Below are 27,980 nucleotides of genomic sequence, written 5' to 3' on the forward strand. Positions count from 1 at the left end.
CCCACCAGCCCCTGCTCACCTTCTGATGCCCTCCCCTGGTCCCCTGAGCTCCAGGGGCTGCCCCCTGCTCGTCCTGCCTCCCACCAGCCCCTGCTCACCTGCAGCTACACTGCCCTGGTTCCCTGAGCTCCAGGAGCTGCCACCTGCTTGTCCTGCCTTCCACCAGCCCCTGCTCACCTGCAGCTACACTGCCCTGGTTCCCTGAGCTCCGGGAGCTGCCGCCTGCTTGTCCTGCCTCCCACCAGCCCCTGCTCACCTGTGGCTACACTGCCCTGGTGCCCTGAGCTCCAGGAGCTGCCCCCTGCTTGCCCATCTTCCACTGAGCCCTGCTCACCTGCAACTGCTCTGCCCTGGCTCTATGAGCTCCAGGGGCTGCCCCCTGCTGGTCCTGCCTCCCACCTGCCCTGCGCACCTGTGGCTGCCTCCTCACCTGTGGCTGCTCTGCCCTGGTCCCCTGAGCTCCAGGGTCTTCCTCCTGCTCATCCTGCCCCTCCACCGGCTCCTGTTCACCTTCAGATGCTCTCCCGTGGTCCCCTGAGCTCCAGGAGCTGCCCCCTGTTCTTCCTGCCTCCCACCTGCCCTGTGCACCTGTGGCTGCTTGGTCCTGGTCCCCTGAACTCCAATGCCTGCCCCCTGCTCACTCTGCCCTCCCTCAACCTGGGGCAGCAACGTCACTCGGTCCACTGTTGCCCCCCTGCCTGTCCTGGCACCCTCTGTCCAGGTTTAGGCTGTTTTTCTTGCCTCATTTTTGTTTTTGCAGCACTTGGCGTGTTCCCTATGCTGTGGAGCAGCCCCAGTGTCCAGTCAGGTCTCCCCAACAGAGCCCCTTGCCCTTGCCCATGTGCCCCTCCTGGATGAGCTCCCGGATCCTCCCGTCCCTGCACTGCTCCTGCTCTGGAAGCCTCTCCAGAACCTCAGCTCCTCAGTGGCCTCTGCTCTGCTGGGTCAGTTCCCTGAACGCACGGAGCCTCAGCCCCTCCCCTCGCCCCAGGCCTGCTGCACTCTGGGCCTTTCTGGGCCTCCCTGGACTCTTCCCTCCTCCCGCCCGTGCACTCAGCACAGCTCTCCCCTCCTCTCCGCTGCTGACCACAGCCCTGCTCCCGGCCAGCAGGTGCCCCAACCCCATCAGCTGGCTCTGAGCCCAGCCCCTGTGCCTCCCCTGTCCCTGCCTCTGCCTCTGGGCTCCTTGGCTTCCACCCTCCTGTCCTGCTGCCACACTCACCCTCCCTGCTCTGCTCCCAGCTCACCTGCTGTCCTTGGTCCTGGCTGAGAGGAGGGCCCTACGGCCAGCTCTGCTGACCCTGCCCTGGGCTCCGGTGATGCTGCCGGCCTGGACAAGCCCCTCGGTTCACCTGGGGCCTCTCCTCCTCCCTCTCTCTGCTGCCTCCTGAGCTCAGGTCGGTCATGCCCATCCTGGCATCACCCCATGGCTGGCTCTGCCCCATCCCGTCATGTTCCTCACACTCCCAGCCCGGTCGTCCTGGAGGCCTCAGTCAGCCTCTGGTGTGTCCTGCCCTGTTGGCTTGGAAGCCCCTGCCCACGGTCCCTGTCGTCTCGCACTGGGTGGGCATCGGTGCCTGAAGGCTGCCCACCTCCCCTGTGCTGGCTCCGCTTAGGCTTCCATGTGGGGCTGGCCTCGCCCCAGCCTCTCCCCAGCCTCTTGCAGCCTGTTCAGCAGCTCAGGTCCAGAAGCGCCGATGGCTGCGCCCAGGCTCTGTCCTTCTCCTGAGCCTGTGCTCCTGCCCTGTGCTGACCCCACTCACCGAGGTGGGGGTCTCAGCCCTTCCTGTTGTGGCGAGGTACATGTGGGCAGCCTTGCCCACGCTGTCAGCTGCCACTTGTCTTCCTAGGAAATCACAGCTCGGCCCCCAGGTCCCCAGGGGTGTGAACTCCACGCTGCAAACACTAAGAACAGGATTGAAACCGGCGGCACCACTTACTTCCTGAAGTTCCCTTTTCTTCTGGTGGTTTCTGTGTCAGAGGGCGAGGGGGAGTCCAGACACAGCTGAGGCTGCCTCATGGGTGTGTGGGGATGGGGGTGGTGGCTGCCCCCATACTCCCCCGTACTCACGGGAGAAGGTGGGGAGCCCGGACCTTGTGTGCTGCTCTTTTCTCTGTCTCTGAGTCCCTGGGGCTGGACTGAGACTGGCAACGATTATGACCATTCTGCCCGTGGTCTCAGCCTCTCAATACCTGGGCCTCTCATCTGAAGCTTCTGGCCCCCACTGGGCCCTGGTGGCTGCTTTTGCCTGGGCATCTCTCCAGCTGACTCTCACTCATGGTGCAGGGAGGGGAGTGTGAGTTCATCCTGCTGAGCAGCTGGCAAAGGCGAGCTGGGATGGAGAAGGGAAGGCGTTCCAAGGCTCAGGTCTGAGCTCACAGGCAGGGGCAGGTCTGGCTGCAGGGAGAATGTGTGTGCTTGAGACCAGGAGGGTCCCAGGGCTGGCCGAGTGGACCCTGCACAGGAAGGCCTCTGAGGCTGGTGCTCCAGAAGGAACAAGATGGGCTGCGAGGAGCCAGGGCCACCAGCTGTGCTCCTGGGGGCCGAGGGGACGTGGGACAGGCGGATGAACACACTGAGGCTGAGTGGAGGTGGTGCAGGGCAGTGTAGCAGCAGAGGGGAGCCAGAGGGGCCCATTCAGGGCCTGGGCAGAGTTGGCCAGAGCCTGTGGTGCAGGTGAGGGGAAGGGGTAGGGGGCAGGGCCCTGGGGCTGAGCAGGGGGGATAGCCTGTCTGAGGGCAGGGTACTTAGCTTCCTCAGAGTTCAGGGGCACACCCCACCTGCAGTGGGACTCCAGGGCCACTGGACTACCAGCAGAGAGAGAAATGGGGCCTCCCTGGGGCCTGGGGATGCTGGCATCATGCAGGGTGGGGAGGTCCAAGGGCATGTGCAAGGCTCCTACCTGTGCTGGGGGAGCCTGGACTGATCTCAGCAGGGACCTTGCCAGGCAGAAGCTCTGGATAGAGGGAAGAGCTGGGCAAGGACGTACGTGGAAGTGGGAGGTAGCAGGGAACGGAATGAGGCCAGAGGGCCTCGGGAAAGCCCGAGGAGGTGTCGCACAGGAAGTGTCCAGAATGGAAGAGGAAGCGTCCAGCAAGGAACAGGAAGAATGGACACTTGTGAGGGGAAATCATGTCCCTCCCACTAAATGTGCTCTCCACAAGGACCCGGCCCGCCCTTCTGTCCCTGCTGGATCCCTGAGCTGGCACCAGCCCTGCCCTCAGAGAGAACGTCCAGGAGACAGGTGGAGGTGCACGTGTGGGTCCCTGGGGAAATCCATCCTCCAGCCGCGGGCTCCCAGTCGGCTCCCAGCCTCTCGCTCCAGCTTCACCCCATGGAGCTCATAATGGGCTCAACCTCCCAGCCTGGGGGAGGACGGAGTGATGGGCCCCACACTGCCCATGGCACACCCAGGGGGCTGGGGAGACTGCACTTGGCTGGGGCAGGGAGGCCTTGTGCAGTCTGTGGGGCTGGCAGCTCAGGACAACACTCGTATCCGTTAAGTGCGGCCCTGGCAACACTGCACCCCAGACTGCGTGGCTTAAACAACAGACGTTTATTCCGTCCTGGTTCTGGAGGCCGGTCATCTGGGATGGAGGTCTCGGTGGGGCTGGCTCCTCTGTGTCATGGAGACTCTGTTCCAGGCTCTCTCCTTGCTGCTGGGCTTTGCCGGCCGTCTCTGCTGCTCTTGGCTTGTGGAAGCAGCACCATCTTCACAGGGCGTTCTCCACACGTGCGTCTGTGCCCAGATTCCCCCTTTTCATGAGGACAGCAGTCATATTGGATCAGAGGCTTGCCCTACTCCAGGGTGACCTCATCCGAACTTGATTGCAGCTGCAAAGACTGTTTCCAAACAAGGTCACATTCTGTGGTCCTGGGGGTTAGGACTTCAACACATGAATTTATAGGGGACACATTTTAACCCATGACAGTTTGCCCTCCGCTCCCCCCATAATCATGTCCTTCTCACAGGCAAAATCCCTGCATCCCATAGCAACATCTCCACGATGGCTAACCCCTTCCAGCACCAACTCTTAGTCCACAATCTCAGCGACATATCACCTGCATCAAGTGTGGGAGAAATGCAGGGTGATTCATTCTGGGGTGAAATTCCTCTCCATCTGTGGACCTTTGTAACTTGACAAGAAGTTATCTGCTTCCAAAGTACAATGATGGGGCAGGCATAGGATGGACATTCCTATTCCAAAAGGGATACATTGGAAGGGAGAGAGGAGCCATGGGTCCTAAGCAAGCCCAAAACCTAGTAGGGAAAACTGCATTAGATTTTTTTTGAAGAAAACAATATACTTTTATTTTAGCTGTTTAAAAGTTTTATGATTGTTTTTAATTGACACATAATAATTGTATATATTTTGGGGTACATTGTGATATTTGGATACATATATACAATGGGTGATGATCAAATCAGGATAATTAGTATTGGGGGAACCTGCCCCCAATATTTCAATGTAGGTTCTTTCTGTTTTCCATAATTGTTGGCCAGCTGAGAAATAAAGAGAGACAGTATAAAGAGAGGATTTTACAGCTGGGCAGCCGGGGGTGACATCACATATCAGTAGGACTGTGATGACCGCCTGAGCCTCAAACCAGCAGGTTTTTTGTTAAGGGTTTCAAAAAGGGAGGGGGTGTAAGCACAGGGAGTGGGTACAAAGATCACATGCTTCAAAGGCAAAAAGCAGAACTACTAATAAGGGTCTAACAAAGATCACATGCTTCTGAGGGAACAGGACAAAGGGCAAAAGCAGAACCACTGATAAGGGTCCAACAAAGATCACAAGGCAAAGGGCAAAAACAGAACTACTGATAAGGGTCTATGTTCAGCAGTGCATATATTATCTTGATAAACATCTTAAACAACAGAAAACAGAGTTTGAGAGCAGAGAACCAGTGTGACCACAAATTTACCAGGGTGGAGTTTTTCACCCCCCTAATAAGCTGAGGGTACTGCAGGAGACCAGGGCGTATCTCAGTCCTTATCTCAGTCCTTATCTCAACCACATAAGACAGACATTCCCAGAGCGGCCGTTTATAGACCTCCCCCAGGGATGCATTCCTTTCCCAGGGTATTAGTATTAATATTCCTTGCTAGGAAAATAATTTAGCGATATCTTCCCTACTTGCACGTTCATTTATAGGCTTTCTGCAAGAAGAAAAATATGGCTCTTTTTGCCCAACCCCTCAGGCAGTCAGACCTTATGGTTGTCTTCCCTTATTCCCTAAAAATCGCTGTTATTCTGTCTTTTTCAAGGTGCACTGATTTCATATTGTTCAAACACATATGTTTTACAATCAATTTGTACAGTTAACACAATTATCCCAGTGGTCCTGAGGTGACGTACATCCTCAGCTTATGAAGATAACAGGATTATGAGATTAAAGTAAAGACAGGCATAAGAAATTATAAAAGTATTATTTGGGAACTGATAAATGTCCATGAAATCTTCACAATTTATGTTCCTCTGCCATGGCTCCAGCTGGTCCCTCCATTCGGGGTCCCTGACTTCCTGCAACAATTAGCATATCCATCACCTCAAACATTTATCACTTCTTTGTGCTGGGAACAATCAAAATTTGCTCTTCTAGCCGTATGAAAATATACAATAAATTGTTGTTAGTTATAGTCACCCTATGGTGTTAGAGAACACCGGGGCCTATTCCTCCTACCTGACTGTAATTTTTTATTTATTAATCGACTTCTAGCTATCCTATCCCCTCCCATTCCCAGCCTCTGGTTACCACTATTCTACTCCCTATTTCTATGAGATCAACTTATTTGGCTTCCATATATGAGTGAGAACATGTGATATTTGGCTGTCTGTGTCTAGCTTTATTTCACTTAACATGTCCTCCAAGCTCATCCATGTTACCTCAGATGACAAGATTTCATTCTTTTTCATGGCAGAATAGAATTCCTCTCTCTCTCTCTCTCTGTGTGTGTTTGTGTATAAACACTACATTTTCTTTATGCATTCATCTGTTGATGGACACGTAGGTTGATTCCAACACTGGCATTGTGAATAGTGCTGCAATGAACATGTAGTGTAGATGTCTCTTTGACATAGATTTCCTTTGGATAAATACCCGGTAGAGGATGGTGGGATCATGGGGCAGTACTCATTTCCATTTTTTGAGGAAGCTCTTTATTGTTTTTCAATGGCTGTGCTAATTCCAAAGACAAGATTTCAACCAATAATGCATTAAAGCTCCCCTTTCTCTGAATCTTTGACAGCAATTGTTTTTTGCCTTTTTTAATAATAGCCATTTTAACTGGGGTGAGATTATATCTTATTGTGGTTTCAATTTGCATTTTCCTTATGATTAGTAATGTTGAGCATTTTCTCATATGTCTGTTGGCCATTCGTATATCTTCCTTTTAGAGACGTCTATTCAGTTCCTTTTTTGGTTTTAAAAACTTTTAAATATTTTTTCATTTGCCTATTTTTAATAAAAAAATTTGTTTTCTTTTCTGTTTAGTTGTTTGAGTTTCCAATGTATTCTAAATATTAGTCCCTTGTTGGATGGAGAGTTTGCAAATATTTTCTAACATTCTGTAGATTGTCTTTTCACTCTGTTGATTGTTTCCTTTGTTGGGCTCAAGTGATCCTCCTGCCTTGGCCTCCCAAAGTGCTAGAATTAGAGGCATGAGCCACTACATCTGGCCTGATATCATTGGCTTGTTCCAGATTTTAGAGAAAAGCTTTCAACTCTTGCATGTTCAGTATGATGTTGGCTGTGGGTTTGTCACATATAGCTCTTATTGTGTTGAGGTATATTCCTTTCATACCTAACTTGCTGAGAATTTTTATGAAGGGATGTTGGATTTTATCAAATACTTTTTCTGTGTCTGTTATGATGATAATACGGTTTTTGTCCTTCATTCTGTTGATGTGATTTGCATATGTTGAACCATCCTTGCATTCCTGGGATAAATCTCACTTGATCATGATAAATAATGTTTTTAATATGCTGCTGGATTCAATTTGCTAGTATTTGGTTGAAGGTTTTCATCTATTATCTTCATCAGAGTATTTAGCCTATAGTTTGCTTTTTTTGTTGTGTCCTTGTCTGGTTTTGGAATCATAATAATAATCACATAATCATAATCATAATCATAATTACCATAATAGTGGCCTCATACAAGGAATTTAGAAGAATTCCCTCCTCTTCAATTTTCGGGAAGATTTTCAGAAGAATAGGTATTAGTTTTTTTAGTGTTTGGTAGAATTCCCCACTGAAGCCATTGGATTACTGTAGAATTGGCATTTTGATAGGAATGTCATTGGTATTTCAACAGGAATTTCTTTGGGCTTTCCTTTGATGGGAGACTTTTTGTTACAGATTCAATCTCAATGCTCATGACTGGTTTGTGCAGGCTTTCTATTTCTTCTGGGTTCAGTCTTGGTAGGTTGTATTGTCCAGAAATATACCTGTTTCTGCTAGGTTTTCTAATCTGTTGGTGTATGGTCTCTAATTATCCTTTGTGTTTCTGTGATATGAGTTGTAATGTTTCTGTTTTCATTTCTGATTTCATTCTTTTGGGTCTTTTTTGTTTAGTCTAGCTAATTATTTGTCATTTTTGTTTATCTTTTGAAAAATTCAATTTTTCATTTTGTTGATCTTTTTTTTTTTTAGTCTGAATTTCATTTATTTCTGCTCTGATCTTTATTATTTCTTTCTTTCTACTAATTTTGGGTTTGGTTTATTCTTGATTTCCTAGTTCCTTGACATGCATTTTCAAGGATGAGATTTATTTGAAATCTCTCTGCTTTTTTGATGTAGGTATTTATTGCCATAAACTTCCATCTTAATGCTGCTTTTTGCTATATCTTATAAATTCTAGTACGTTGCATTTCTATTTTCATTTTCTTTGTTGACATTCTAAAATTCCCTTCTTAATTCCTATTGGTCACTCAGGAGTACATTATTTAATTTCCCATGTCTTTGTACAGTCTTAAAAGTTCCTCTTATTGATTTCGAGTTTTATTGTGGTCATAAATGATATTTGATATAATTTTAATTCTTTCAAATTTGTTGAGACTTGTTTTGTGACTTACTGTATGGTTTATCCTGGAGAATATTCCATGTGCTGATGAAAAGAATGTGTATTTCACAGCTGTTGGATGAAATGTTGTGTAAATATCTGTTAGATGCATTTGGTCTAAAGTGCTTTTTAAATTGAATGCTTCTTTGTTGACTTTCTGTCTGGATTATCTGTCCAGTGCTGAGAGTGGTGTTGAAGTTATCAACTATTATTGTATTGGGATCTATCTCTTCCTTTCTTCTGCTTCATCATATCTGCTGTTGAAGCTCATTACTGTATTTTTTAATTTTATTCATTGAATTCTTCACCTGCAGAATTTTAGTTTGCTTCTTTTTTATTTCTATCTCTGTTGAAATTTTCATTCATACTGTAAATTACTTTCCTGAATTCATTGAATTGTTTATCTGTTTTCTTGTATCTTATTGAGTTATCTTAAGATCATTATTTTGAATTCCTTTTCCAGCAATACATTGATTTCTTTTTCCATTGAGGTCTATTAATGAGAGTTATGTTCCTTTGGTGGTGTCATATTTCCTTGCTTTCTCATGTTTATTGTGTTCCTGCATTGATGTCTGTGCATCTGGCGAAATAGTCACCTCTTCCAAACTTTCAAGAGTGGGTTTTTTAGAGAAACAATTTCACCTGCAGTTGGGTTTAGTGTTTTGGTTGGGAAAGTGTGATGACTCTGTTTCTGAATAGGTGCAGTGGCATAGCTTCCATGCGTCTTCTTCAACTGCATTCAACCTCAGCAATAACTGTGGGCACCTCAGTGGACTAGGCTGTAGAAGTTTGTGGATGTAGTGGTGGCACAGGTTAATGTACTCAGTGTCAAGGGCTTTTGTAGTCCTCCTCTTCTTGTTTCCCCACAATGAGGAGATTTAGTCAAGGGGCTCTCTCTTGGTAGCAGGTCTAATGTGGCCAACGTGCAGCTGCAATGGTGCTGGATTCCAGGTGCAGAAAATTAGAGTAGCTGTGCAACTGGAGTCCTAGTCTCCTGGTTTCAAGAATCTACTGTGGCATCTGGGTCTTGGGGTGTAGGTTCAGTTTCTGTGGCAGGTTTGGATTAGGTGGCTCACAGTGCTAGGATCTGTGACTCTGAGGTACCCTTTAACAGGTTTTGCTCAAGGGGCCAGGTTGTAGCTGTGAGTCTATTCCTGGGGGGTGCAGCATTTGTCCAACTCTGGGGAAGAAGGGGTGTTCTGGAGGTGTGGACCTGGGGAGTATGGTATGGCTGCAATTTGGGAAGCTGAGCCAATAGGGCACAATGGAAACTTTGGTCCCAGGGGATGAGGCACTGTATGGTATTGACTCTAGACCCTAGGATGGTAGGGCTCAGCAGGATCCCAGACTATGTGAGACCAGGTACAGTGTCAGCAAGTATCCCAAGATGGCAGAGCATAGCTGTAATTTGGGCCTTGGTGGGGAGTAGGCAGGGAACAGCACAGTGCTGATTCTACTTCCCAGGGAGAGGGTGCCTCAGCAGCTCAGACCCTAGGGGCCTAGGCAAGCTCCAGGGAAGCAGGGCACTACAGTTGTTTGGCCTGTAGGCTGAGATGTCTCAGCTTAGCCACTGCTCTGTTTTCCTGGGGCATAGGGTACTATATCAGCTCAGCCTTGGGATGTGCTGCTGCTCAGCTTAAGCCAGGGCACTGATTCCCTAGAAGGTGATGTGTTGCTTCAGCTCAGGCCTTCTCTGCTGTAAGGAAAGTCCTGCATTTATGTATCAGAGGGTGTGATTGTTCTGAGTGGCCCAGGCACCATTTCTGTAGGATACAGGTTGCTGCTTCAGCCTAAGCACTGCAGTGTGTGACCTTCTGGGTGGCCAAGGCATTAGTTCCTGGAATGCAGGGTGCTGCTTCAACGTAGACACTAGAAAGGCATGGCCAAAGTCCTGTTTTGCTAGGAGGCAAGAAACTGCTTTAGCTTGGACTCAAAGGGTCAGGGGGAGGAGTGGGTAGAGCTGATCCACTTGGCTCTGTGGGGAAGGGTTTAATAGATGCCCATAGCTTGACTTGGGGACGTGGGACCACTAGTCTGGGTTGTTCAGTGGCAGCTTAGCCTCAGAGATGAAGGGGAGCTGTGACTACTCACTCCTTGGGTAAGACACACTCCAGCCATAGTTCCTATTCCAGTGTGGTGAAGCACTAGCCATGTGGGAGTGGGGTACGGTGTCAGCACCTTTTTTGGAGAGCACAGCTATGTGGCCTCCAGGCAACTCCCTCCAGTGCAAACTGCAGGGGACCCCAGTGGCGAGGTCTGCAGGTGTCCGAGGTGTTAGTGGGTGCCACTGGGATCCTCTTGCTTACCTCCTCATGTCAGAAATTCCTCCTGATTCCCAGATAATCCTGGTTGGGGGATGGAGTGGTGGAGGCCGTGTGTTTCCTTCTGTTTTCTATGTGGCCAGCCCACATTTCTGTGCTTATCAGGGTTTCTGTTACTCCTCTGATGCACTCAGTGCTCTCCCTCAGTTATTTTCGTTAAAATATAGTTGTCTATTGACTTTTCTGGCTTTCTTTATGAGGATGATGAGCACTAGGGGCTTCTAGTTGGCCCTTTATTAGATTTAAGTCTCAAGATTCATCCTCCTCGGTTAATGCTCCATCTTCCAGGCCCACTGGGGTGGCCCCACACTCTGGGCCCAAGGTGGCAACAGCAGCCCCAACAGCCTCCTCACCTGTGGCTCTGATCTCAAAGTCATTCTTCCTTCATTTTATCTGGTCTCATGTATTTATTTATTTATTTATTTATTTATTTGCATGATAGGCTTTACTTTTAAATGATTAGTAGTACACCGAGTAATAACATGTAACAAGTTCTTGAATTCTATCATCTAGTTATTTTGATTAAGAAGCTGAAACAATTATACTAGTAATATTCACTGTTCTAATTATTAGCAGCAATGGACTACTTTAAGGCTGGCTGATGCTTCACACAGGTTACAGAAACTACTACTTTTTCATAGATAAAGCCCCTGACCTTCAAAAAAGCATTAAGGAAAAAATGATTTAATTCCTTCCTTTTTTCAAAGGATTGTTTTGCTTTTTCTTTTAAACTTGATACAAGAAAGAAAACATCAACAGTGATATATATATATGTATATATATTGCTTGAGCCAAAAGGCATAATAAAATAGACAATATTTACCCATTATATTCCTAAGAAACATGAGGTAAAAAGATGAAATCTTTAAGTTTTTTTTTTTTGAGACAGGGTCTCACTCTAGCACCCAGGCTGGAGTGCAGTGGCACAATCTTGGCTCACTATAACCTCTGCCTTCCGGGCCCAAGTGATCCTCCTGCCTCACTCTTCCAAGTAGGTAGGACTATAAGCATGTACCACCATATCTGGCTAATTTTTATATTTCCTTGTAGAGACACAGTCTCACTGTGTTGTTCAGGCAGGTCTCAAACTCCTGAGCTCAAGCCATCTGCCCGCCTTGGCCCCCGAAAATGCTGGGATTACAGGCGTGAACCACCATGCCCAGCCTAGATAAATTCTAAGTCTGTACAAAGAAACTGGATTTGCTTCTCTCCGAAAAGTGAATGGGCCTACTCTATAATATACAGAGATAAGTTAATGTCTTCTTATAAGAATATAACTAGAGCTTCTTATTCCATGAGGGCATCTAAAGTGCCAGTCCATTTAACAGGTGCTTCTCTCTTTTAATATCTACTTATGCGATAGTTTTCAGGGATTTCTGGCTGGATGCTGCAGACAAAGGCCAAAAGGTTATCTAAGACTTCTTCCCTGTTCTGCTGGAAGTAGGTCTGGAGGATGGTTATCCTGGGTCTGCGAGATCCTAGTGCTGCAGCTTCCTTGGCCTTGAACTCTTTCTCCTTCTGCAGGCAGTGCTGTTCAATTTCAGCCTAAGCTGCTCCTTTGGGCTGCTTCAGCCTCTGGTTCTTTTGCTTGTGGGCCCCAGACACCTTCTTGGCATCCTGCTTCTCGGCCTGCAGCAGCTGCTGGATCACCTGTGACTGACCGGCCATGGCCGTGGTGATTCTGAGACCAAGGTGAGCAGCCTAAATCAGCTTGAAGGGCCCTTGGGTCAGCTGACCCAGCCACCTCAGCACTTCCCTCTTCAGCTGATCTCTCTCTTCTCATATTTTACTGTAAGCAGCAAGGAGAAATCAAGAATGCCTTCAACAATTTTCTTAGGAACTTCGTCAGCTAAACATCCAAGTTCATCATGTATAATTTCTACTTTCCACAAAACGGAACACAGTTCAGCCAAGTGCTTTGCCACTGTATGACAAGGGTCACCTTCGTTTTCAATAACACCTTCCTTATTTCTGTCTGGAGCCTCAGCAGAGGCATCTTTAACATTCACGTTTCTAGCAACATTCTGTTCGTGACAATTTATGTATTCTCCAAGATGACAGGAGTTTTCTCTATAGCTCTCCTCTTTCTTTCTGAGCCCCCACCAGGATCACCTTTAATGTCCAAATTTCTAACATAGTCTTCAAGGAAACCTAGGCTTTTTCTAACACACACCTCAAAACTCTTCCAGCCTCTACCCCTTACTGAATTCCACATTTTGCTACTTATGACCCCTGGGCTCACTGAAAACTTACTGCCCACTTCTGATCCTTCAGTTTCTCCTTTGGCAACATGCACAAAGTGGCCTGATCTTGTTCAACCCAGTTCTAGGTCTGCTACCTTCTAATACCGGGCAGACTCAGCCAAGTCCTGGGCTGAGCTGGTGTGATTGGGCCTCCCAGCCCTGTACCCTGAGGGTGCTTGGGCTTCACTGGGAGAACCTGACCAAGTATCGTTCAGTACCATGCATGTCACTCAATATCACCCCTAGAGATTTGGGGGTTAGCAGTACCATGGAGTTCCTGATATGATTTAGATGTTTGTCCCCTCCAAATTTCACATTGAAATATGATCCCCAGTGTTGGAGGTGAGACCTGGTGGGAGGTATTGGGGTCATAAGGCCAGATCTCTCATGAATGGTTTGGTGCCATCCCCTTGGTGATGGGTGATTTCTCACTCTATTAGTTCACACAAGAGCTGGTTGTTTAAAAAAACCTGACACTTCCTTCTTATCTCTCTTTCTCCCTCTCACCATTCTCACCATGTGACATGCTGGCTCCTTTTTTTTTTTTTTTTTGAGATGGAGTTTCACTCTTGTTGCCCAGGCTGGAGTGCAATGGTGTGATCTCGGCTCACTCACTGCAACCTCTGTCTCCTGGGTTCAAGCAATTCTCCTGCCTCAGCCTCCCTAGTAGCTGGGACTACAGGTGTGCACCACCATACCCGGATAATTTTGTATTTTTAGTAGAGATGGGGTTTCACCATGTTGGTCAGGCTGGTCTCGAACTCCTGACCTCAAGTGATCCACCTGCCTTGGCCTCCCAAAGTGCTGGGATTACAGGCATGAGCCACCATGCCTGTCCTATGCTGGCTCCTTTTTTGCCTTCTGCCTTGATTGTAAACTTCCAGAGGCCTCACCAGAAGCAGATACTGGCATTATGCTTCTTGTACAGCTTGTAGTGAGCCAAATAAACTTCCTTTTCTTTACAAATTATCCAGCCTCAGGTATTCTTTTATAGCAATGCAAAATGGATGAAAACAGAAAATTGGTAGCAAGGAGTGCGGTGTTGCTATAAAGATACCTGAAAATGTGGAAGTGGCTTTGGAACTGGGTAATGGGCAGAGGTTGGAAGAGTTTGGAGGGCCCAGGAAGAAGACAGGAAGATGAGGGGAAATTTGGAACTTTTTAGAGACTGGTTACATAGTTGTGATCAAAGTGCTGATAGAAATATGGACAGTAAAGGCCAGGCCGATGAGGTCTCAGGTAGAAATGAGGAATTTATTAGGAACTGGAGTAAAGGTGATGCTTGTTATGCCCCCAGCAAGGAGCTTGGCTGTATTGTGTCCATGTTCCAGGGCTTTCTGAAAGGCTGAGATTGACAGTGATGACCTAAGGTATCTGGTGGAAGAAATTTCAAAGCAGCAGAGCATCCAAGAAGTAACCTGGCTGCTTTGAATGGCCTAAATCAAATATGGGAGCAAAAAAAATGACTTAAAATTAGAATTTATAATTAAAAGGTAAGCAGAACATAAACATTTGGAAAATTTGCAGGCTGGCCATGAGGTTGAGAAGAAAAGAGCCTTTTCAGGCAAGGAACCCAAATGCCTTATGGAGCAACCACTTGCTAGAGAGATTAGCATAACTAAAAGGCAACTAAATGCTAATAGCAAAGACAATGAGAAAAAGGTCTTAAAGGCATTTCAGAAGTCTTTGGGACAGTCTCTCCCATCACAGGCCCAGAGGCCTAGGAGGATGAAATTGTTATGGGGGTCAGGGCTGGGGCCTTGCTTCCCTGTGGTATCTTGGGAGGTTGCTGCTCCAGGTTCAGCCAAGGCTCAAAGAGTCCCAGGTGCAGCTCAGGCTGCCACTCCAGAAGGTGCAAGCTGGAAGCCTTGGTAGCTTCCACATGGTGCTAAGCCCACAGGTGGGCAGAATACAAGAGTGAAGGAGGCATGGCAGCTCCTACCTACATTTCAGAGGGTGTATAGGAAAGTCTGGGTGCCCATCCAAATCAGTAAAAAGGAAGTCAGACTGTTGCTGTTCACTGATGATATGATCACATACCTAGAAAACCCTAAAGCTCATCCAAAAAGCTTCTAGATCTGTTAAATTAATTCAGTAAAATTTCAGGATACAAAATCAATGTACATAAATTATCAGCACTGCTATACACCAACAATGACCAAGCTGAGAAACAAATCAAGAACTCAATCCCTTTTACAACACCTGCAAAAAATAAAATACTTAGGAACATACCTAACCAAGGAGGTAAAAGATCTGTACAAGAAAAACTACAAAACACTGCTGAAAGCAATCATCAATGACGCAAACAAATGGAGACACATCCCATGCTCTTGGATGGGTAGAATCAATATTGTGAAAATGACCATACTGCCAAAAACAATCTACAGATTTAATGCAATTCCCATCAAAGTGCCACCATCATTCTTCACAGAAATATAAAAAACAATTCTAAAATTCATTTGGAACCAAAAAAGACCCCACATAGCCAAAGCAAGACTAAGCAAGGTGAACAAATCTGGAGGCATTACATTACCCAAATTCATACTATACTACAAGGCTATAGTTACCAAAATAGCACGGTACTTGTATAAAAATAGGCATTAGACCAATGGAACAGAACAGAGAATCCAGAAATGAAGTCAAATACTTATATCCAACTGATCTTTGACAAAGCAAACAAAAATGTAAAGTGGGGAAAAGATGTCCTATTCAACAAATGGTGCTGGGATAATTGGCAAGCCACATGTAGAAGAATGAAGCTGGATCCTCATCTCTCACTTTATACAAAAATCAACTCAAGATGGATGAAAGGCTTAAATCTAAGACCTGAAACCATGAAAATTCTAGAAGATAACATTGGTAAAACTCTTCTAGACATTGGCTTAGGCAAAGAGTTCATGATCAAGAACCCAAAAGCAAGTGCAACAAAACCAAAAATAAATAAATAAATAAATAAATGTGACCTAATTAGACAAAAAAAACTTCTGCACAGCAAAAGAAATAATCAGAGAGTAAACAGACAGCCCACAGAATAAGAGAAAATATTTGCAAACTATGCATCTGATAAAGGACTAATATCCAGAATCTACAAGGAATTCAAACAAATCATCAATAAAAAAAATACCATCAAAAAGTGGGCGAACGACATGAATAGACAATTCTCAAAAGAAGATATACAAATGGCCAACAAACATATAAAGAAATGCTCAATATCACTAATTTTTGGGGAAATGCAAATTAAAACTGCAATGAGATACCACCTCACTTCTGTAAGAATGACCATAATTAAAAATTAAAAACTAACAGATGTTGTCATGGATATGGTGAAAAGGGAACAGTTTTACACTCCTGGTTGGGAATGTAAACTAGTACAACCACTTTGGAAAACAGTATGGAGATTCCTTAAATAACTAAAAGTAGAATCACCATTTGATCCAGCAGTCCCACTATTCGATATCCAGAAAAAAATAAGTCATTATATGAAAAAGACACTTGCACACACATATTTAGAGCAGTGCAATTGCAACTCCTTGTAATTGCAAAAATATGGAGCCAGCCTAAATGCCCATTGACCAATGAGTGGATAAAAAATGTGGTATATATACACCATGGGATACTACTCAGCCATAAAAAGGAATAAAATAGTGGCATTTGCAGCAAACTGGATGGAGTTGGAGGCCATTATTCTAAGTGAAATAACTCAGGAATGGAAAAACAAACATCATATGTTCTCACTTATAAGTGGGAGCTAAACTATAAGGATGCAAAGGCATAAGAATGATATAATGGACTCTGGATACTTGAGGGCAAGTGGGGGATGGAGGTGAGGGATAAAAGATTACATATTGGGTACAGCGTACACTGCTTGGGTGACAAGTGTGCCAAGATCTCAGAAATTACCATGAAAGAACTTATCTATGTAACCAAAAACCTAAAACTATTGAAATAAAAATAAAAAAAGAGAGAGACAAAAAAGAAAGCCTGGGAGCCCAGACAGAAACCTGCCGCAGGGGTGGAGTTCTCCCACAGAGCCTCCAGTAGGGCAGTGTGGAGGGAAAATGTAGGGTTGGAGCCCCTTCACAGAGTCCCCAGTGGGGTACTGCCTAGTGGAGCTCTGGGAATGGGGCTGCTGCCCTCCATACCCAAGAATGGTAGAGCCACCAGCAGCTTGCGCCCAGAGCCTGGAAAAGATTCAGGCACTCAACTACAACCCATGAGAGCAGCCATGTGGGCTGCACTCTGCAAAGCCATGGGGGCAGACCAGCCCAAGGCCTTGGGAACCCGCTCCTCACACCAGTGTGCCCTGGATGCAGGACATGGAGTCAAGGATTATTTTGGAGCTTTAAAGTTTAATGTCTTTCTCTCAGAATTGTGTGGGGCCTGTTGCTTCTTCCCCCTCCTTCTTTTGGCCAATTTATTCCTTTTGGAAGGAAGGGAAATGTTTACCCAATGCCTGTACCATCACTGTATCTTGGAAGTAGCAACTTGTTTTGGATCTTACAGCCTCATAGGTGGAAGGGGCATGCCTTGAGTCTCAGATGAAACTTCGGAGTTTTGATTGAGTAGATCCTAGAACAAGTTGAGATTTTTTGGGCACTATTGGGAAGGGATGATTATATTTTGCAATGTGAGAGGGACATGAGATTTGGGGGGACAGTGTGGAGTGACATGGTTTGGATATTTGTCCCCTCCAAATCTCCTGTTGAAATGTGATCCCCAATGTTGGAGGTGGGGCCTAGTGGAAATGTTTGGGTCATGCCATGGATCCCTATGAATGGCCTTGCTGCCATCCTCTTGGTGATGAGTGAGTTTTGCTCTACTGGTTCACACAAGAGCTGGTTGTTTAAAAGAGCTTGGCACCTCCTCTTTCCCTCTCTTGCTCTCTCTCTCACCATGTTACATGCTCTCTCCCCCTTCAACTTCTGCCATGGTTGTAAGCTCCTTGATGCCCTCACCAGAAGCAGATGCTGGCACCAGGGTTCTTTTATGGCCTGCAAAACCCTGAGCCAAATAAACCTCTTTTCTTTATAAGTTACTGAGCCTCAGGTATTCCTCTACAGCAATGCAAAATGAACTAACAAAGCCAGTTGTACTTTACCATCCAACCATCATGGAAGCTACAAGAGGAATTGTTTCTATCTGATTCTACACTCCTCTTCAGCATCAGAATGTTCTGGGAGCACCAAAAGAGTTCAGGTGGAGATGAGAATGGTCTCTCCTCTGGGTGCCCACCCCTGATAGCTGGGGTGAGCTGTTTTGCGGATGGGAAGACTTGGTAGTCTGCTCAGGTTGACAGCCTGACAGCCTACAGTGTCTGACAATGAGCCCTGTCATCACAACTCATCTGTTATCAGCCTGGCCCTCAGGGTCTCTCTCAAGCTGGATCCCCGAGGCTGTGGGTGCCATGACCCACCTGGCTCTGCTAACATCCTCCAGGCTGGCTCCCCACCTGCCCCACAGCCTCTGCCCTTGGAGTGGACTCTGGCCTGCCTCACTCCTTGGGTGCTGGATGGGTCAGCTCTTTGGGTGGGCTGGCTGCCTGCAGGAGATCAGAGGAAGGGGATGCTGATGCTAAGTGGTGACCCTGGCTCTCTCCTTGCAGGGTTGCCTGGACCTTATTGCCTTCCTCAACAGACAGCCCAAGGAGCCTCTGTTCCTGCAGATCTCGGAGCGGCTCTCTCTCCTCCTCCAGTGTGTGGGGAGGTGCTTGCTCTTGTAGGGGAAGAAACATTTTTCCCCCTTCTACCCATCTTAGGTTCATTAGCTGGGGTCTTGTCAATTAGATTAACAAGATACTAACATGAGAAAAACAAACAAAAGTTTACTAACATGTGCATTATGCCTCTATGTGGGAGCCGTCAGAGATGAGGAATTCAAAGGGGCGGTTGGAACGTGAGCTTACGGAGCATCTTAGCAAATGGGCAATCATTTTTACAGAATTGGCAAGACAAAGGAAAGGGGCTTTCAACCTGTAGGGCAGCAAATTCTGGGAAGTAAATATATAGGGGAAGCTAACAGAAGATAGCTTGCTAGTTTGTTGTGTAGATTCCTCTAGTGCCTTCTCTGGGCTGATAAGCATCTAGAGTTGTCTCCAAGGACTAAGAATCCTCTGCTTTTCCTGGTAGAAAGGGAGTGGGCAGGGATTTTTTTCTTGGGTATGCTTCTTTTTAATTGTCTTCGGCTCAAAATTATTCTTGTTTGAAAGTGGCATATTCTGCTACTCTTCACTCTGCCGGAGCCAGCTCTGGAGTCCTCAGTGTCCCAGGGGCTCTTGCACTGAGCCCAGATCTGTGTCAGCAAGGTGTCCTTCCATTAAATCCTGCCTAAATGACTTAGTTGGAGGTGCAAACCCACAGAGCATTGCTGGAGGCATGTGGGAGAGTGGCTGTCAGGTGTTGTCTTTGTCCATTAAGTTGCTATAAGGGAATTCCTGAAGCTGGGTAATTTATAAAGAAAAGAGGTTTATTTGGCTCATGGTTCTGCAGGCTGTACAAGAACCATGGTATGTGCAGAGATCACATGGGGAGAGAGGAAGCAAGAAAGAGGGGAGATGCCAGGCTCCTTTCACCAGCCAGCTCTAGCAGGAATAAGAGTGAGAACTCACCCTCAAAGGAGAGCATTTTGGGATCTGCACCCAAAATCCAAACACCTTCTACCAGGCTCCACCTCCAACACTGGGGGTCGAATTTCAACATGAAGTCTTGGGGGACAAACATCCAACTATAGCAAGGGTCCTGCAGGGACTCTCTCCCTCCCACTTAACTTCAAGCTTGAGTGGGTGATAGAATTTGGTGTTTGGTCCTGACAGGATTTGCACTGCCCAAGTCTGCAGCTACAGCTTTAGAATTGGAAGGCCCCCTTCACCTCCAGGGTGTCTTGTGACCAGAGCACCACCGGTGCCCACTAAGGCCTGCCCCTGCAGCCTGGTCACATGGGGTGGAGGTAGAGTCAGGATCTTGATTGGCAGGCAGCTCCACCCAGAGGAGCAACCTCCTGACTCCCACTGCCCCCCACCTCCCACAATGGCATACCAGCACCCATGGCAGAGGCCACGAAGACACCTAGGGACACTTCTGGGTCAGAAGGGGTGCCACTGACGGGGTGAGCTCCGTGTCTGTAGCAGGTAGAGGCACTGAGATTTATAACAGAATGAACTGAGTTTTTGGCAAGTGCGGGAAGACTGTCCACATAAGTCCTTGAGAACTTGGGAAGCAGAATGAGCAGATAAAAAGAGGAAGCTCAGGTGTTTATGCTCTTGGTCCGCTGAATTAAATAAGCTATGATGAAGCTGCTGCTGCTTCCAGGGCTGAAGTACATGCCACGGGCAGTGACCCCATAGCAGGGCCACTGTGCACTTCACATGCCCTGAGGACAGGCTCTCCCGTCACACTGCTACTGTTACTGGGTGGGGCAAAGGATCATCCCATCCTGCCCACCACAGCCAGCACCTATGTGAGCCACTGGAGCCTGGGGAAATTCATCACCACTATATTGGCCTTACAAGAAATGCTTAAGGGAGTTCTATACTTGGAAGCAAAAGGATGATCTCTACCATCGTGAAAACACATAAATGTATAAAACTTACAGCCGCACGGCAAATACAAAAAAAGAGGAAGAGAAAAGACACAAATGTTACCACTACAGGAACCACCAAGCCACAATGATAAACAATAAGAGAGAAAGAAAGGAACACAGGATAGACAAAACAACAAGAAAACAACCAACAAAATGGCAGAAATAAGTCCCCACGTATCAATAATAACCTTGAATGTAAACAGATAGAATTTTCCACTTAAAAGATATATACTGGCTGAAAGGAAAAAACCCAAAGACTCCACCAAAAACTCTTAGGTCTGATAAATAAATTTAGTAAAGTTGCAAGATACAAATCAATATATGAAAGTCAGTAGTATTTCTATACCCTGATAATGAACTAGCTGAAAAAGAAACCAAGAAGGCAATCCCATGTACAATAGCTACAAAAATCCATATAAATAAATTTCACCAAGGAGGTGAAAGACTTCTGCAAGGAAAACTACAAGGCACTGATGAAAGAAATTGAAGAGGACACAAACAAATGGAAAGACCTTCCATGCTCATGAATTGGGAGAATTAATATTGTTAAAATGACCATACTATCCAAAGCAATCTACAGATTCAATGTAATCGCTATTAAAATATCAATGTCATTTTTTCAAAGAAATGGAAAAACAATCCCAAAATTATTATGAAACCAAAAAAGAGCTTGTATAGCCAAAGCAACCCTTAGGAAAAAGAATAAAGCTGGAAGCATCATACTACCTGACTTCAAAATATATCATGAGGATATAGGAAACAAAACAGCATGACATTGGTATAAAAATAGACACAGACCAATGGAACAGAATTGAGAACCTAGAAACAAAACAACCACATATTTATAGCCTACTGATTTTCAATGAAAGTGCTGGGAAAGGACAGCCTCTTCAATAAATGATGCTAGGAAAACTGGATATTCATATGCAGAAGAATAAAACTAGGTCCCAATCTCTCACTGAATTAAAAAAACAACTAAAATGTATTAAAGACTTAAACATAAGACTAAAAATTATAAAACTACTAGAAGAAAACATAGGGAAAACACTACAGGACATTGTCATAAGCAAATATTTTATGGCTAACACCTCAAAATGACTGGCAACAGAAACAGAAATAGACAAATGGGACTATATTAAACTAAAAAGCTTCTGCACAGCAAGGAAACAGTCAACAGAGTGAAGAGTCAACTTTTTGATGGGATAAAATTCATCCAACAAGGGACTAATATTCAGAATATACAAGGAATTCAACTCCACAACAAGAAAAATCCCATTAAAATGGACAAAAGACATGAATATGCATATCTCAAAAGAAGACATGCAAGTGTGACCAACATGTACATGAAAAAATGCTCAACATTACTAATGATCTAGGAAATGCAAATCGAAATCACAATGAGATATTATCTTACCCCATTTAGAATAGTTATTACCAAAGACAAAAAGGAACAGATGCTGATGAGGATGTGGAGAAAGGAGAATGCTCATTCACTGCTAGTTGGAATGTAAATTAGTACAGCCATTATTGAAAACAGTGTAGAAGTTCTTCAAAAAATTAAAAATAGAACTACCATATAATTCAGCAATTTCACTGATGCATATATATCCAAAAGAAAGGAAATCAATATTTTGGAGATATATCTACACTCCCATATTTATTGCAGCACTGTTCACAATAGCTAAGATAGGGTATCAACCTAAGTGTCCATCAATGGATAAATGGATAAAGAAAATGTGGTATATATACATAATGGAATACTATTCAGCCATAAAAAAGAATGAAATCCTATAATTTCCAGCAACATGGATGGAAAGGGAGGTCATTATGTTAAAGAGAAATAAGCCAGGCACAGAAAGTCAAATATCATGTGTCCTCTTTCATATGTGGGAGCTAAAAATGTGGATCTCATAGAGGTAGAGAGGAGAATGGTGGTTACCAGAGGCTGGGAAGGATCACTGCTGTGGGGAGGAGATAAGAGAGGTTGGTATAATGGATACAAAAATACAATTGGGTAGGTTGGGTGTTGTGGCTCACGCCTGTAATCCCAGCACTTTGAGGCTGAAGTGGGTGGATCACCTGAGGTCAGGAGTTCGAGACCAATCTGGACAACATGGTGAAACCCTGTTTCTAGTAAAAGTACAAAAAATAGCAGGGCATATGGCATGTGCCTGTAATCCCACCTACTTGGGAGGCTGAGGCAGGAGAATCGCTTGAACCCGGGAGACGGAGGCTGCAGTGAGTCGAGATTGCACCATTGCACTTCAGCCTGGATGATAGAGCAAGACTCTGTCTCAAAAAAAAAAAAAACACACACACACACACACAAAACAGTTGGTTAGAAGGAATAAGTTCTAGTGTTTAACAGCACAGTGTGGTGACTATAGTTAACAATAATTTATTGTATATTTCAAAATAGCTAGAAGAGAAGATTTGAAATGTTTCCAACACAAAGAAATGATAAATTTTGAGGTGATAGATATTTTAACTACCCCGATTTGATCATTACACATTCTAGGCATGTATCAAAATATCATGTGTACCCCATAAATACATTAATATATAATTATTATGTATCCACAAAAATAATAAATTAAAAATTAGATTATCTGTGAAAGAGGCCATGGATGGGAAGGCCACACTGCAAATCACACCTTGGCCATCCTCATCATCTAAAACCTTTCTTGGTGTCCTGTCTTGTTTGGGTTCTAGAAGAAGCCAGCTTTTCCACTCCCTCCTTGTAAGTTTTGGATTTTCTCTATTCTTTTAAAATTTTTGCTTACAAAGCCACCAATTCTCTGACCTAACCTCTTTTCTCTAGTTAATTAATGAAGGGAGCTAATAGTAGCCAACAAACTCTTAATACTTGATTTTGCAATCTCTTACCCTAGAGCTGCAGGCTGAATAGGCAGGGACTCTGCCTTCCAAATGTTAACAACTGATTTATTAAGGCATGACAAGGATCTGCAGTCCTCCAGCCTGACACCAGCTTCCTTGCTAACTGCTTCTCATATTCTAAGGCAAGTTTTTTATTTTATTTTTTTGAGATAGAGTCTCACTTTGTCACCTATGCTGGGGTGCAGTGGTATGATCTCAGCTCACTGCACCCTCTGCTTCTGCAGGCTCAGGTGATCCTTCCACCTCAGCCTCCCTGGTGGCTGGGACTACAGGCATGTGCCTCCATGCTTGGCTAATTTTTAATTTTTTTTCTAGAGATGGAGTATTGCTATGTTGCCCAGGCTGATCTTGAATTACTCAGTTCAAATCATCCTCTTGCCTCAGCTTCCCGAAGTGCTGGGATTACAGGCATGAGCCACATAATATTATTTTTTGTTACAGCATCACAACTCTTCAAAGTACTGTCTGACTTATTCACATTACTCATTGAACAGAACTGGTAACAGGTCTCCATCCACATGTGATGGCACTGGGAAACACAGTCTAGCAGGAGTCAAAGGAAGGAGAAAAACAGCTATGGGTGAGTTCTAGTAGTCTTTTTCAAAGATTGCTTACCTTCAATATCGACAGTGTAAAATCTAATGTTAATGAAATACTAGCAAATGAAATCCAACCATGTATAAAAAATAATATACCCATTGAGATTTATCCCAGGTATGCAAATATGATGGCTGATTTTACTTGTCAACTTGGCTAGGTCTTGGAACCCAATATTTGGTCAAACATCAGTCTGGATGTTGTGAAGGTATTTTTTTAGACAGGATTAACATTTAAGTTGTTAGACTTTAAGTAAAGCAGATCATCCTCCAAAATGTGGGTGGGCCTCATCCAATCAGTTGAAGACTATTAAAAAAGACAGATTGAGGTCCCCTGAGGAAGATGGAATTTTGCCTCCAGAAGATCTTTGGACTCAAGCTGGAACATCATCTCTTCCCTAGGTCAGGTTCCACACTACCGATTTGATGATTTTGGACCTGCAGGCCTCCACACCCATGTGAGCCAATTCCTTAAAATTCTCTCTCTCTCTCTGTCTCTGTCTCTCTCTCTCTCTCTCTCTCACACACACACACACACACACACACACCCTATTCTATTGGTTCTGTTAATCTGGAGAACTCTCAGTAATAGAAACAAGGCTGATTGGACATTCAAAATCAATTAATATAAGCTTTCCACCTAAAAGTCAATTAATATAATCCATCTCTTCAAAAGATTAAGAAAACTCATGTGGTCATATCAATAGATAACAAAAAAGTGTCTGACAAAATACAACTCAATTTATCATAAAAACTCTCAGCAAACTTTGAATAAAGGGGAATACTCTCAAATTTATAAAGGACATCTACAAAAAACCTACTGCTAACATTGTACTTCGTGGTGAGAAGCAACAGGTGAGTAGGTCCCCTTACCAGTCCCAATTAACACCATGCTGGAAGTCTTAGCTAATGCATTAAAACATGAAAAGCAAGTATAAGATATACAGATTGGAGGAGAAGAAATGAAGCTGCGTTTGTCATCAGATGACATGATATCTCTGCAGAAAATCCCAAATAATCGACAAAAAACCTCCTGGAACTAATAAGTGATTATAGCAATGATATAGTTTGGGTATTTGTTCCTACCCAAATCTCATGTTGAAATGTAATCCCCAATGCTGGAGGTGGGGCCTGCTGGGAGGTGTTTAAATCATGGGGGCAGATCCTCATGAATGGTTTGTGCCAGCCCTTTGGTGATGAGTGAGCTCTCGCTCAGAGTTCAGACGAGATCTAGTCGTTAGAAGTGTGTGCCACCTCCCCCTCCACAGAGTCTCTTTCTTGCTTCTGCTTCGGCCATGTGATATGGCTTCTCTCCCTTTGCTGTTTGCCATGATTGGAAGCTTCCTGAGGCCTCCCCAGAAGCAGAGGCTGCCATGCTTTCTGTACAGCCTGTAGAACCGTGAGCCAATTAAACCTCTTTTAAAAAAAAAAAAAATTACCCAACCTCAAGTATTTCTTTATAGCAACGCAAGAATGGCCTAAAAGCAAATTTGAAGGACGTTAAGTTTAATGGGCAAAAGCCATTTTTTCCCTATATACCAGCAATGAACAATTGGGATTTAAAGTGGAAAACCGAATACCATTTAAATTAGCACCAGAAACTGAAATACTTGGGTATAAATCTAATAAAACATATACAAGATATATACTAGGAAAACTATAAAACTGTGATAAAAGAAATGAAAGAAGATCTAAATCAGTCGAGAGATATTCCACGTTCATGAAAAGAAAAACAATATTCTTAAGATGTCAGTTCTTCCCAACTTTATATATAGATTTAACACAATCCTAATCAAATTCCCACCACATTATTTTATGGATGTTGGCAAACTGATTCTACAGTTTATATGGGAAGGGAAAGTACTCAGAAGAGACAACACAATATTGAAGAAGAACAAAGTTAGAGGACTGACTCTTCCCAACTTTTATGCAAGACTTACTGTGAAGCCACAATAATCAGGAGTGTGGAATTGGTGAAAGGATAGACAAATAAATCCATAGAACAAAACTTTCTGATAATAGACGCCCATAAACATAGTCAACTGATCTTCAACAAAGGAGCAAAGGCAGTTCAATGGAGAAAGCGTCATCTTTTCACTACATGGCACCAAAGCAAAAAAAAAAAAAAAAAAAAAAAAAAAAAGAATCTAGACACAGGCCTTATGCTTTTCACAAAAATCAACTCAAAGTGGATCATAGGCCCAAATGTAAAGCCTAAAACTATGAAATTTTAGAAGATAACAGGAGAAAATCCAGATGATCTTGGGCTTGGCAATGAGTTTTTAGATATAACACAAAAATCACAATTTGTATAAAAAGAAAAATTAGTTAACTGAGCTTTATTAAAATGAAAAAATGTCTACATGTGAAAGACATTGTCAAGAGAATGAAAAAGGCAGGCCACAGACTGGGAGGAGAAAATATATATCTGATAAAAGACTTGTATCTAAAACACTTAAAGAACCATTATTAAATTTAAACAATAAGAAAACAAGCAACCCAATTAAAACATGGGCAAAAGATCTGAACAGACACCTCACCAAAGAAGGCTTGCGGATGGCAAATAAGCACATGAAAATATGCTCCACGTGGTGTGCCATTGGGATGGCAAATGAAAACAACAATGAGCTACCACGACCAGCTACTAGAATGGAGAAAATCCCAAAGAAAACAAATGAAACAAAAAGCTCTCAACGCCAAATGCTGTGGAGGATGTGAGGCATAAAGAACTCTCTTTCATTGCTGGTGGGAATACAAATGGTGCAGCCACTTTGGAAGACAGTTTGACAGTTTTAAAAGCTAAATCTTATCTTACCATACAATCACACTCCTAGGTATTTATTCAAATGAGTTGAAAACTTATGTCCACACAAAAATCTGCACGTGAGCTTTTATAGCAGCTTTCCTCGCAATTGCCAAACTTGGAAGTAACTAAGATACCATTCACAGGTGAATGGTTCAGTTAACCGTGGTACATCCGGACAGTGGAATATTATTCAGCAATAAAAAGTGAGCTATCAAGGGCAGGCATGGTGGCTCACACTGTGATCCCAGCACTTTGGGAGGTTGAGACAGGAGGATCACTTGAGCCCAAGAGTTCTAGATCAGCCTGGGCAATATAGCCAGATACCATCTCTATGAAAAATTAAAAAATGAGCATGATGGTGGTGCCTGTAATCCCAGCTGTGTTGGAGGCTAAGGCAAGAGGATCGCTTGAGCCTGGGAGGCTGAAGCTATAGTGAAATATGATTGCACCACTGCACTCCAGCCTGGGTGACAGAGGAAGACCCTATCAAAAACAAAAAACAAAAACAAAAAACTATTAAACCACAGAACGCATGGAGGAATCTTAAATACATATTGCTAAGTGAAAGCAGCCAGTTGGAGAAGGCTAAATAATGTACGTTTCCAAACTATATATTTGGAAAGGCAAAACTACAGAGAGAGTAGAAAGATCAGCAGTTGCCAGGGTTTGGGGTGAGGGGTGAGGAATGAATAGTGAAATATAGGGGATACTATTCTGCATAACACTGCCATGGTGGATACGTGACATTGCACATTTGTCAAAACTCATGAACTATACAACACAAGTAGTGAACCCTAAGGTAAACTACGGATTTCAGTTAATGATAATGTATCAATATCGACTCATCATTTGTAACAAATGTGCCATACAGATGCACAATGACAGTAGGTGACACTGTATATGTATAGAGAGGCGCTGGGTATGTAAAAAGTCTATGGACTTTTTGTTCAATTTGTTTGCAAACCTAGCGCTGTTCTAAAAAGAGAAAATCAATTAATTAAACAAAGAAATAAACAAAAAAATCATTATGCTACACAGAAAAATGAAAGCAGAACCACGGACAGCAGCTTGGACACCACGTGTCTGACCAAGGCAGCACCATGGACAGCAGCCGACAGTCCTGGGGCGTTCCTAAAAGACAAATGTGGAACAGTGGTTGACTTATGTTGTCAAGGTGGCATCAGGGACAGGAAAATAGCCCTACTTAGGGGAGTTTGGTTTTTGTTTTTGTTTTGAGACGGAGTCTCGCTCTGTCGCCCAGGCTGGAGTGCAGTGGTGTGATCTCGGCTCACTGCAACCTCTGCTTCCTGGGTTCAAGCAGTTCTCCTGCCTCAGTCTCCTGAGTAGCTGGGAATACAGGCACGCGCCACCATGCCCAGCTAATTTTTGTATTTTTAGTAGAGACGGGGTTTCGCCATGTTTGCCAGGATGGTCTCCATCTCTTGACCTCGTGATCCACCCGCCTTGGCCTCCCAAAG

The 27,980-nt window shown here is 44.4% G+C and overlaps 1 pseudogene and 1 further gene, besides 1 other annotated feature; both read right to left on the reverse strand.

The window, feature by feature from the left end:
- IGH (immunoglobulin heavy locus) overlaps positions 1-27,980 on the reverse strand; it is a 1,293,408-nt gene that overhangs the window by 187,343 nt on the left and 1,078,085 nt on the right.
- On the reverse strand, positions 10,717-12,193 carry ATP6V1G1P1 (ATPase H+ transporting V1 subunit G1 pseudogene 1; annotated as a pseudogene).
- Positions 27,506-27,706: a silencer, noted in NCBI's record as "peak2261 fragment used in MPRA reporter construct". NCBI's record gives its function as "represses an SCP1 promoter by STARR-seq MPRAs in K562 erythroleukemia cells {active_cell/tissue: K562}" and the evidence as "EXISTENCE:reporter gene assay evidence [ECO:0000049][PMID:32103011]".

This window comes from Homo sapiens, chromosome 14 (genome assembly GCF_000001405.40).
Source record: "Homo sapiens chromosome 14, GRCh38.p14 Primary Assembly".
Classification (NCBI taxonomy): domain Eukaryota; kingdom Metazoa; phylum Chordata; class Mammalia; order Primates; family Hominidae; genus Homo; species Homo sapiens.